Here is a 12,190-nt window from a genome sequence, read left to right on the forward strand (position 1 = left end):
GTGGTTGGACATTTGGGTTGGTTCCAAGTCTTTGCTATTGTGAATAATGCCTCAATAAACATACGTGTCCAGGTGTCTTTATAGCAGCATGATTTATAGTCCTTTGGGTATATACCCAGTAATGGGATGGCTGGGTCAAATGGTATTTCTAGTTCTAGATCCCTGAGGAATCGCCACACTGACTTCCACAATGGTTGAACTAGTTTACAGTCCCACCAACAGTGTAAAAGTGTTCCTATTTCTCCACATCCTCTCCAGCACCTGTTGTTTCCTGACTTTTTAATGATTGCCATTCTAACTGGTGTGAGATGGTATCTCATTGTGGTTTTGATTTGCATTTCTCTGATGGCCAGTGATGATGAGCATTTTTTCATGTGTTTTTTGGCTGCATAAATGTCTTCTTTTGAGAAGTGTCTGTTCATGTCCTTTGCCCACTTTATGATGGGGTTGTTTGTTTTTTTCTTGTAAATTTATTTGAGTTCATTGTAGAGTCTGGATATTAGCCCTTTGTCAGATGAGTAGGTTGCGAAAATTTTCTCCCATTCTGTAGGTTGCCTGTTCACTCTGATGGTAGTTTCTTTTGCTGTGCAGGAGCTCTTTAGTTTAATTAGATCCCATTTGTCAATTTTGGCTTTTGTTGCCATTGCTTTTGATGTTTTAGACATGAAGTCCTTGCCCAGGCCTATGTCCTGAATGGTAATGCCTAGGTTTTCTTCTAGGGTTTTTATGGTTTTAGGTCTAACATGTAAGTCTTTAATCCATCTTGAATTGATTTTTGTATAAGGTGTAAGGAAGGGATCCAGTTTCAGCTTTCTACGTATGGCTAGCCAGTTTTCCCAGAACCATTTATTAAATAGGGAATCCTTTCCCCATTGCTTGCTTTTCTCAGGTTTGTCAAAGATCAGATAGTTGTAGATATGCGGCATTATTTCTGAGGGCTCTGTTCTGTTCCATTGATCTATATCTCTGTTTTGGTACCAGCACCATGCTGTTTTGGTTACTGTAGCCTTGTAGTATAGTTTGAAGTCAGGTAGTGTGATGCCTCCAGCTTTGTTCTTTTGGCTTAGGATTGACTTGGCAATGCGGGCTCTTTTTTGGTTCCATATGAACTTTAAAGTAGTTTTTTCTTCCGTTGTCTTTTTTTTAACTTTTTTTTTAGGTTCAAGGGTACATATGCAGGTTTGTTATATAGGTAAACTTCTGTCATGGGAGCATGTTGTGCAGATTATTTCCTCACTGAGATACTAAGCATAGCACCTGATAGTTACATTTTTTGATTCTCTCCCTCCTTCTAACCTCCTTCCTCAAGTAGGCCCCAGTGGCTGTTCTTCTCTTTGTGCTTTTTGATTCTCATTATTTAGCTCCACTTATAAGTGAGAACATGGGGTATTTGCTTTTCTGTTCCTGTGTTAGTTTGCTAAGGATAATGGCCTCCAGCTTCATCCGTGTTTCTGCAAAGGATATGATCTCATTCTTTTTAATGGCTGCACAGTATTCCATGGTGTATATGTACCATATTTTCTTTATCCAGCCTGATGTTGATGGGCATTTAAGTTGATTCCATGTCTGCTATTGTTCATAGCGCTGCAGTGAACATACGCACACATGTGTTTTTATCGTAGAACAGTTTATATTCCTTTTTGTATATACCCAGTAATGGGATTGCTGGGTCAAATTGTATTTCTGTTTGGTATTTCCTCTTTGAGGAATCACCACACCACTTTTCACAATGATTGAACTAATTTACACACCCACCAGTAGTGTATGAGCATTCCCATTTTGCTGCAACCTCACCAACATCTGCTATTCTTTGACTTTTTAATAGTAGCCATTTTGACTGGTATGAGATGATATCCCACTGTGGTTTTGATTTGCATTTCTCTAACGATATTGAACATTTTTTTCATATGCTTGTTGGTTGCATTGCATGTGTCTTCTTTAGAAAATGTCTGTTCATGTCCTTTGCCAACTTTTTAATAAGATTTTTTGTTTTTTTTTTTGCTTGTAAGTTTAAGTTCCTTATAGATGCTGTATATCAGACCTTTGTCAGATGCATAGTTTCCAAATATTTTCTTCCATTCTGGAGGTGTCCATTTACTCTGTTGATAGTTCCTTTTGCTGTGCAGAAGCTCTTTGGTTTAATTAGGTCCTGTTTGTCAATTTTTGCTTTTGTTACAATCACTTTTGGCATCTTTGTCATGAAATCTTTGCCCATTCTTATGTCCAGAATGGTATTTCCAAGGTTATCTTCCAGAGTTTTTATAGTTTTGAGTTTGCCATTTAAGTCTTTAATCCATCTTGAGTTGATTTATGTATATGGTGTAAAGAAGTGGTCCAGTTTCAATTTTTTGCATATGGCTAGCAAGTTAATCCCAGCACCATTTATTGAAAAGGAAGTCCTTTCCTCATTGTTTGTTTTTGTCAGTTTTGTCAAAGATCAGATGGTTATAAGTTTGTAGCCTTATTTCTTGGTTCTCTATTCTAGTCCATTTTTCTATGTGTCTGTTTTTGTACCTAAATTATGTTGTTTTGGTTACTGTGTGTAGTATAGTTTGAAGTTGGGTAACATGATGTCTCTAGCTTTGTTCTTTTTGTTTAGGATTGATTTGGCTATTCAAGGTCTTTTTTTGTTCCATTCAAATTTTACAATAATTTTTCTAGTTCTATGAAGAATGTCATTGGTAGTTTGACGGGAATAGCACTGAATCTGTAAATTGCTTTGGGCAGTATGGACATTTAACAATATTAATTCTTCCTATCCATGAGCATGGGATGTTTTTCCATTTGTTTGTGTCATCTCTGATTTCTTTGAAGTGTTTGTAATTTTCGCTGTAGAGATCTTTCACCTCCCTGGCTAGCTGTTTTCTTAAGTATTTTATTCTCTTTGTGACAATTGTGAATGGGATCATATTTCTGATTTGGCTCTCAGCTTGGATGTTGTTGATATACAGAAATGCTACTGATTTGCTATTGATTTTGTATCCTGTAACCTTGCTGACATTGTTTATCAGCTCAAGTGGCTTTTGGGCAGAGACTCTGAGGTTTTCTAGATATAGCAATATGTCATCTGAAAACAGGGATAGTCTGACTTCCCCTTTTCTTATTTGAATAGCCTTTATTTCTTTCTCTTGTCTGATTGTTCTGGCAAGGACTTCCAATACTATGTTGAATAAGAGCGGTGATAGAGGGCACCCTTGTTTGTGCTGGTTTTCAGGGGGAATGCTTCCAGCTTTTGCAGATTCTGTATAATGTTGGCTATGGGTTTGTCATATATGTCTCTTATTATTTTGAGGTATATTCCTTCACTATCTAGTTTATTCATGGTTTTTAATCTGCAAGTATACTGTATTTTATTGAAAGCCTTTTCTGCATCCATTGAGATAATTATGTGATTAGTGTGTTTAGTTTTGTTTATGTGATGAATTATATTTATTAATTTGTGTATGCTGAATCAACCTTGTATCCCAGGGATAAAGCCTACTTGATCATGATGGATTACCTGTTTTATGTGCTGTTGAATTCAGTTTGCTAGTGTTTGGTTGAAGATTTTTGCATCAATGTTCATCAAGGATATTGGCCTGAAGTTTTCTTTTTTTGTTATGTCTCTGCTAGGTTTTGATATCAGAATGATACTGGCCTCAGAGAATGAGTTAGAGAGGAGTCCCTCCTATCAATATTTTGAAATAGTTTCAGTAGGAATGGTACCAGCTTTTTAGTATATCTGGTAGAATTTGGCTGTGAATCAATCTGATCCTGGTTTGTAAGCCAATCTTAATAGAATTCTTTAAGGGATTTCTGGCTGACTGCCAGATTTTATCATGTAGCCACAACATACAACACAATATATGTACATATGCATTAAACACATCAAATCACATATATACACACACACACAAAGATCTTATAGATTTCATCTCAGAATGTTAGTCATGAGATAGTAATACAAATTTCCTTGTCTACTAAAAAAAACTATTGGGATCAAATTGTATTTCTGACAAAATTGGAACCTGTTCACATGGCTAGACTTTATTTGCCCCAATAGTTAATCTGGTGAAGGCTGTGGACAAAAATTTTGGGTAAAGCAATTCTGAAGCAGTTTGATTTTTACAAAACCTCTTTTACCACATGTTCCTCTTTTTACATTTTCAAATGAGTTTAGAGTTAAATTTTCAATGTCTACATTTTAGCTAGGACTGGCTGAATTGTATAAGAAAAAAAATCTCCAAGTGGCCTTGGATCTGTTTTGTTTCCTGGACTGGTTTGTTTGACTAGTCAGTCAATTGTGGGTAGGGGAGCATTTTAGCAGTTTTTAAATTTTCTTTTTGGCCCCTGTATGGCAGACACAATAAACATTTTGTGCGGGACAAAGATGCCTTATATTATTGCTCTGAGTTCAGGATTGTGACCTGTTTGATCTGAAAGCCTCACCTTTATAAACATATTTATCTAGTTCTTTCCTTTTAGATGAATTAGCTATTTCATCCCCTAAGTGATTGTCGATCAAGAAAACCTAAATTTACCTTTCCAAATGGCACCTAGGTTGTTGGTTACCATGAAGCTGTTGCAATTTGTGAAGTCATTAATTTGAAAGCCCTTTAAGGACCCTAAAAAAAAATCTTGACTAGAATGCAATAGACGGTAAGTTTTATCTCAACACCAGTAGAAAAGTCAGCAGATTCAAAGTTGGCAGAAAAAAAGGGAGATAGAGAACTCAGTAGGCTCTGCATGTTAACTCTACAGTTACAGATATTTTTAAAGAGATTTTGAATAATGACCACCTGCATTCTACACTTTCCTTGACATAATTTGCCCATCAGTTTAAAAATATTCATGGGAAGAGACTATAATATGTAGCTAGCTGCATTCCCAGAAAACCTGGCATGCCTCAATGTTTGAGAAACCCATTCTATGTCTTATTAATTTCTTAAGAGCAAAGAAAATCCTATAAATTCTGTCAGGGAATGTCAGGAGTTTAGATGATAATGACTGCCATAGTTGCTTTTAATTAGCCATCTTGCATGCATCACTTAGAATGCTTATTTTGCTCTTGGGAGATTTTTGCAAATAAGCAAGGGAAAAGAGCCAAATCATTTACAGACCAAATTAAATCAAACCAAGATAAAGGTGTTCACAAAAATTTTAACTCAGGCATGCAGATAAAACAAAATATTGAATTAGGCATACAGGCCAAAAGTGAATTCACCAGAAAAGATATGCCTCACAGATAAAAAGCAGAAACCAGAGTACTCTGTCTTTATACCAGGAAGGATTTACTAGAGAAGGCAAAAAGTTTTTTTTTTTAATCATTGCAGAAGGCATGTAAGGTTCTTTATTAAGAGGTCCTTACAATCAAACTACATTTCAAATAATATCCAAAGCCTCTACCAAAAATAGGAAGGCTTGGCCTAAGAGAAGACTCACCAGGGCAGAAAAGGCAAGATATGGAAGTGGTGAGCTCAAAGAGCTCTTTTGAGTACTGCATATTGGTTCCAAGAATCAACCATTTCTTGTGATAGTGATCTTTCTTCAGGTCCCATTTCTGACATCACTTAAGTCAACCTAAATAATATACAGAGCCTCTCTAAAAGAAAAAGATATTTATTCAGGAATAGGGCATTGCAATGGGAATATGTGTGCCATAGTAAACTGTGCATACTCAGGGAGGCAAAGGAAGACAAACGTTTTAACAAGAAGACTGAAGAGGATTATATAATTTTTTTTGAAATGATTATCCTTGGCTACAAGGATCAATAAAAAGGGTGATGCCAAGTGGTTTCTGGGCAGATATCCTCGTATAAGTATTTTTGTGTAAGGCTGCAATGGCCTCTGTGTAAGGTTGTGGTTTTTGCTCTCTTTTGTGATAGTTTTGTTATCAGGCATACAAGTATGAGAACTCCCTCTTCATGCCCTTTCCCAGCTCTATTTTTCAGTTTTTTTTTTAAACACAAGTGATTCCATTTTGATTCTGATAACTTTCACAAAGCAAATGATCAACCCTGAGGAGGGGGTTGTGGGAAACTGATTTATAGCTGGTAAGCCAGAGGTACAGGAGGCCTGGACATGTAATTGTTGACTGAAGTATGTGTGTGGTTGAGCCCCTTAACTTGTGAGATCTGGTGCTAACTCCAAGTAGACAGAGTCAGAATTGAATTGAATTATATGATACCCAGTTGGTACCCACTGAGCATTGGATAATTATTTGCTGTGGAAAATCCACACATTTGTTGTCAAAAGTTCTGTGAGTACAGAAAAACAGCTTTTTTTCTGTAGTCACAAAATGTATTTCATATAATTTCAACCTTTTAATCGTATTGATTTGTTTTATAGCCTATCTTATGGTCAATACTGGAGAATGCTGCATGTGCTCTTGAGAAAAACATGTATTCTGCTCTTGATATGGTGGAGAAGTGGAAGGCAGCAGTGTTCTAAAGATGTCTGTATTAGTTAAATCTAATGCTGCTGATAAAGACATACCTGAGACTAGATAATTTATAAAGGAAAGAAGGAAAGAGGTTTAAATGACTCACAGTTCAGCATGTCTGGGGAGGCCTCAGGAAACTTACAATTATGGCAGAAGGGAAAGTAAACATGTCCTTCTTCACCTGGCAGCAGCAAAGGGAAGTATGAGAACCGAGTGAAGGGGGAGCCCCTTATAAAGCCATCAGATCTCATGAGAACTTACTCACTATCACGAGAATAGTATGGGGGAAATTGACCCCATGATTTGATTACCTCCCACTGGGGCCCTCCCATGACATACAGAGATTATGGGAACTATAATTCAAGATGAGATTTGGGTGAGTACACATCCAAACCATATTATTCCATTCCTGGTCCCTCCCAGATCTCATGTCCTCACATTTCAAAACACCGTCATATCTTTCCAACAGTCCCTCAAAGCCTTAACTCATTCCAGCATTAACTCAAAAGGTCAAGTCCAAAGTCTCATCTGAGACAAGGCAAATCCCTTCCATCTAGGAGCCTGTAAAATCAAATGCAAGTTAGTTACTTGGTTTTGGTACAGGCATTGGGTAAATACACACATTGGGGTACAGGGCATTGCATAAATACACACATTCAAAAAAATTGGCCAAAACAAAGGGGCTACAGCCCCTGTGCAAATCCAAAATCCAAAAGGGCAGTCATTAAACCTTAAAGTTCCAAAATGATCTCCTTTGACTCTATGTCTCACATCCAGGGGACACTTATGCAAGGTGGGCTCCCACAGCCTTGGGCAGCTTTGCCCCTGTGGCTTTTCAGGGTACAGCCCATTTCCAGGCTGCTTTCCTGGGCTGGCATTGAGTTTCTGTGGCTTTTCCAGGTGCATGGTGTGAGCTGTTAGTGGATCTACCATTCTGTGGTCTGGAGGATGGTGGCCTTCTTCTCACAGCTCCATCAGGCAGTGTCACCGTGGGGTCTCTGTGGGGGCTCTAACCCTACATTTCCCTTCTGCATTACCCTAGCAAAAGTTCTCCATGAGGGCTCTGCTTCTGCAGCAAACTTCTGCCTAAACATTCAAGTATTTCCATACATCCTCTGAAATCTAGGCAGAGGTTCCCAAACCTCAATTCTTGACTTCTATGCACCCACAGGCCCAACACTATGTATAAGGTGCCAAGGCTTGGGGCTTGAGCCCTCTGAAACAATGGCCTGAGCTGTACATTGTCCCCTTTTAGCCACAGCTAGAGCTGAAGCAGCTGGGGTGCAGGGCACCATGTCCTGAGGCTGCATTGAGCAAGGGGGCCCGGGGCCCAGCCCATGAAACCATTTTTCCCTCCTAGGCCTCCGGGCCTGTGATGGGAGGGGCTGCTGTGTCTCTTATATGCTCTGGAGACATTTTCCCCATTGTCTTGGTGATTATGCAAATTTCCACTACTGGCTTGAATTTCTCCCCAGAAAATGAGGTTTTCTTTTCTATCACATCATCAGGCTGCAAATTTTCCAAATTTTTATGCTCTGCATCCTCTTAAATGCTTTGCCACTTAGGAATTTCTTTCACCAGATACTCTAAGTCATCTCTCTCAAGTTCAACGTTTCACAGATCTCTAGGGCAGAACCAAAAGATGCTGCCGGTCTCTTTGCCTAGCAAGAGTGACCTTTATTCCCATTCCTAAAAAGTTCCTCATCTCCATCTGAGAGCACTTCAGCCTGCATTTTATTGTCCATATCACTATCAGTATTTTGGTCAAAGCCATTCAACAAGTCTAGGGAGCTCCAAACATTTTCACATTTTTCTTTCTGCTTCTGAGCCTCCAAACTGTTTCAACCTCTGCCCAGATCCAAAGTCACTTCCACATTTTTGGGTTTCTTTACAGCAGCACCCCACTCTCTGTGGTACCAATTTACTGTATTAGTCTGTTCTAACACTGCTAGTTAAGACATACCTGAGACTGGGAAATTTGTAAAGGAAAGAGGTTTAATTGACTCACAGTTCAACATGGCTGGGGAGGCCTCAGGGAACTTACAATCATGGTGGAAGGGAAAGCAAACACATCCTTCTTCACATGGCGGCAGCATGGAGAAGTATGAAAGCTGAGTGAAGGGAGAAGCCCTTATAAAACCATCAGATCTCATGAGAACTTAATCACTGTCATGACAATAGCATGGAAGAACTACCCCATGATTCAATTACCTCTCACCAGATCCCTAGGACTCTTAAACTGTTTATTTTTCTTCACGCTTTTTTTTCTTTTTGTTCCTCAGACTGGACAATATCAAACTCAATTTCACCATGTACTTAACTTTACTTATGCTCTTTATTTCTTTGTGTGGATTCAAGTTACTCTCTAGTGTTGTTTAATTTTGCCTGAAGAATTCCCTATACTATTTCTTGTGAGGGAGATCTGCTAGCAGTAAATTTTCTCAGTTTTTGTTTATCTGAGAATGTCTTAAACTCCCCTTCACTTCTGAAAGAAAATTTTGCTCAATATAGAATTTTTGTGTGAGATTCTTTTTCTTTTAGCACTTTAAATATGTCATCCAACTTTTTTGGCCTTCTTAGTTTCAGATCATATGTCAGCTGTTCATTTCATTGCAGATCCCTTGTATGTGATGAATCATTTTTGCTGGCTGCTTTTGGGATTCATTTTTATCTTTGACAGTTTGACTAATACATGTGTAGGTGTGTACCTCTTTCAGCTTATTCTACTTGGAGTTGTTGAGCTTTTTTGATGTGTAGATTAAGATTTTCATCAGTTTGGGACATTTTCTGCCATTATTTTTTCACATACCAATATATGTACCATGGGAGTCCTAGAAGGAGAGGAGAGAGAAACAAAAGGACATAAAGAATATATATGTCCTAAGAATTTTCAATACCATTTACTAACTATTAGATAGAAGTAATAGTTTTTTCTCCCCCTTATTAATCTCTTTTTTCTTCTACTTAATCATTAAGAAATATCGCCTTTTATAATAGTCACTAATATGTGACTATTTATAATCAAAAATAATATGAGAATCAATCATATGCAAGTTGATATAATACGACACAATTTGCCAGAGAGAAGTTATACAGAAGGAGGAAATAAGAAGAAGAAGAGCAAGTTGAGTGTTCTATGGTTTTGTCAGCTTTGTCCCTTCCAATTTGCTAAAGCTTATGTGGTTTCCTTTACTATAGTGAATATGTGAGGGGAAGAAGCTTGAAACAAGGAGGTCCTGTTATATGCCAATATTGATCTATAAAAACTCTAGATGAAGCTGAAAAAGTTCTGGGGTAAAATCCAAGGACACAAGTAATAGACATTTAAGAATCATTACATTTTCTTTCTAAGTAAGAATGTAGAAGTCAAGCTTTATATAATTCAAGAGGAGCAGAAAGGTAAGAATAACCTAGAGAGAAGAGCAAGGAAGTGGGATTCTAGGAGAAAAGGTTTTTTGTTTGTTTGTTTGTTTGTTTGTTTGTTTTTTGGCAGGAGGTGTGACAAAAATGGAAAAGAGAAAGTAAAAAATATGGGTAACCCCACAAGAAAAGCAAATACAAAGGTCAAATCGGGTGAGTAAGAATAAGTGCATGAAATAAAGAGGGATGAACAAACGGGGTGGGGAATTTTCAGGGTAGGAGAAAAAGATGGGAACTTTGAAAAAAGTGGGAATAAGGGAGAAAAGGGTATTAGTACTGAGCTTTGAAGGAATGGTTGAGGGAATTATAGAAGGTCAAATGATGGAAATGGGTGCAGCTTGAGAGAAAAAAAGAGTTACTGGGTTAGGATGACAAGAAAGGCAAAGTGATGAGGCTTTGCCTTTGACTCTTGGACTGTGTTTAATGAAGCTAAAAGCACACACTTGTTAGGTTATAAAGTGAGGTAAAGAACTATCGAGGGAGAGAGACTGAGTACCTGATGTCAATTCTTATTACAGTTCTTTAAGATTTCTGTTTTATCAAAGGATCTCACTTTCTTCCCACCTCATTCTACAATGTAGTAGTATTCTAACACTCATGCACATCAAGGTACTTGTGGGAGAGAATATCCTGTAAGAAAAACATATACAACCTATAGATTTCTGATTCATAGCACATGAGGAGTTCATTAAAAACACACAGAAAATAACAAGACAAAAAACTTTGGACACCCCCCTCCCGAAGCTCATTCATGGGTCCCATCCTTTAATCTCACCAATTTACATAAATATGAAACACCTGACCAAGTTTTCAAGTAATTTGTCACTCATCTTACCTCCTAAGGAAGACTATGTTTTCATTTAACAACAAATAGGCCAGGTGCAGTAGCTTATACCAGTAATCCCTTTAGAACGCCAAGGTAGGAGGATCGCTTGAGGCCAGGAGTTTGAGACCAGCCTAACATACAAGGACCTTTGATTCTGCAAAAGATAAAAAGCATTAGCTGGGCATGGTGGTGCTCACCTATAGTCCTAGCTATCCAGGATGCTGAGGCAAAAGGATCATTTGAGCAAAGGAGTTCAAGGTTACAATGAGCTGTGATCGCATCACTGCATTCCAGTATGGGTGACAGTTCTTGCTCACAAGAACCTGTCTTTATAAAACAAATGAACAACTTAACAACAAATACTTGTTAACAGATATTTAATTTACTATGTGCCAGATATGTACTCCAGGCACCTGAACAACATGAAAATAGAATGTTTTGTTTTCCTCTAGCCATGTCTATTTGCTGGTGTAGTCAGACAGTTTGGGGACAAGCAGAGGATTGTGGTGTTTTTGATGGTGGTGAAAGTGGAAGGATTATCCCAGGGATAGCATTATTAATCCCATATCATAATAAGGCCTGAGTGAAAAGACCCCTGACCTGGCAAATATCAGATTCTGCTAGATATGAAATGAAAATGAAAATTACCTTATTTTGGATACTTTGGAAGCCTGCTTTGTATTTTCCCTCCAGAGTCAGTATTGTATCAATGTGCTATGAATTTTCAATACCATTTACTGAGTAACTATTAGATAGAAGTAATAGTCTTTTTCTCCCCCTTATTAATCTCTTTTATTCTTCTACTTAATCATTAAGAAATATAGCCTTTTATAATAGTCAGTAGCTACAACTTTGCTGTCCCTAGGGCCCAATGTTTGGCTGAGGTGTCCTCACTTAGTGTGCACGTGACCAGAGCTCTGCAGTGACTCGGAGCAGCAGCAGAAGGGGAAATAAGGAAGTGGCACCATCTCGGGACCTGAAAATCAAGCTAGAAGAGCCCTAATCATTCATCTGTCATCAGCACATAAACATCCCTTTTCTACTGGTACTCAGACAAGGCAGGCTTGCTTGAATGCACTACTTGCTCTGAAGTTCTTCATTTATAAAATAATAGACCAGGAATGGCGGAAGGGGTGTGTGTGTGTGTGTGTGTGTGTGTGTGTGTGTGTGTGTGTGTTCATATGTGTGTATAATGTACATCTCTTCTTTGACCCCCTTTGGTTTCCAGTGTTTGCATCATTAACTAAGCTGATTGTGACTGCCCTCTACATTTATTTAAATAAGATAGAGTATTTTAAAAAGAAACTTAACGTAGGCCTTGGCACTTAGGGATGCTCAGTTATAGCGCCTGTGTATAAAAGCACCCAAGGGGTTTACATGGCCAGACTTTTCACCACTTCTGTATTCTTGGCTGGCCTCCCTCCTCTGAAACCTCAGCTGGGGAGGGACCCAACTGTAAGAGATTTGTTTTCTGTGACATTTGCTATTTGTTGCTGGCTCACTGTTTCGGTGGGGGAGGTGTC

The 12,190-nt window shown here is 38.3% G+C and overlaps 1 long non-coding RNA gene across 1 annotated transcript; it reads right to left on the reverse strand.

Annotated features, from left to right (window-relative positions):
• Window positions 1-8,681: 8,681 nt before the first annotated feature.
• Window positions 8,682-10,821, reverse strand: LOC107985225 (uncharacterized). Its single transcript, XR_001738297.2, has 3 exons — window positions 10,677-10,821; window positions 10,338-10,471; window positions 8,682-9,252 (listed from the first exon to the last, which is right to left on the reverse strand). It is a non-coding gene; the product is annotated as an uncharacterized LOC107985225 (long non-coding RNA).

The sequence above is a fragment of the Homo sapiens genome, chromosome 1 (assembly GCF_000001405.40).
Source record: "Homo sapiens chromosome 1, GRCh38.p14 Primary Assembly".
Taxonomy (NCBI): Eukaryota; Metazoa; Chordata; class Mammalia; order Primates; family Hominidae; genus Homo; species Homo sapiens.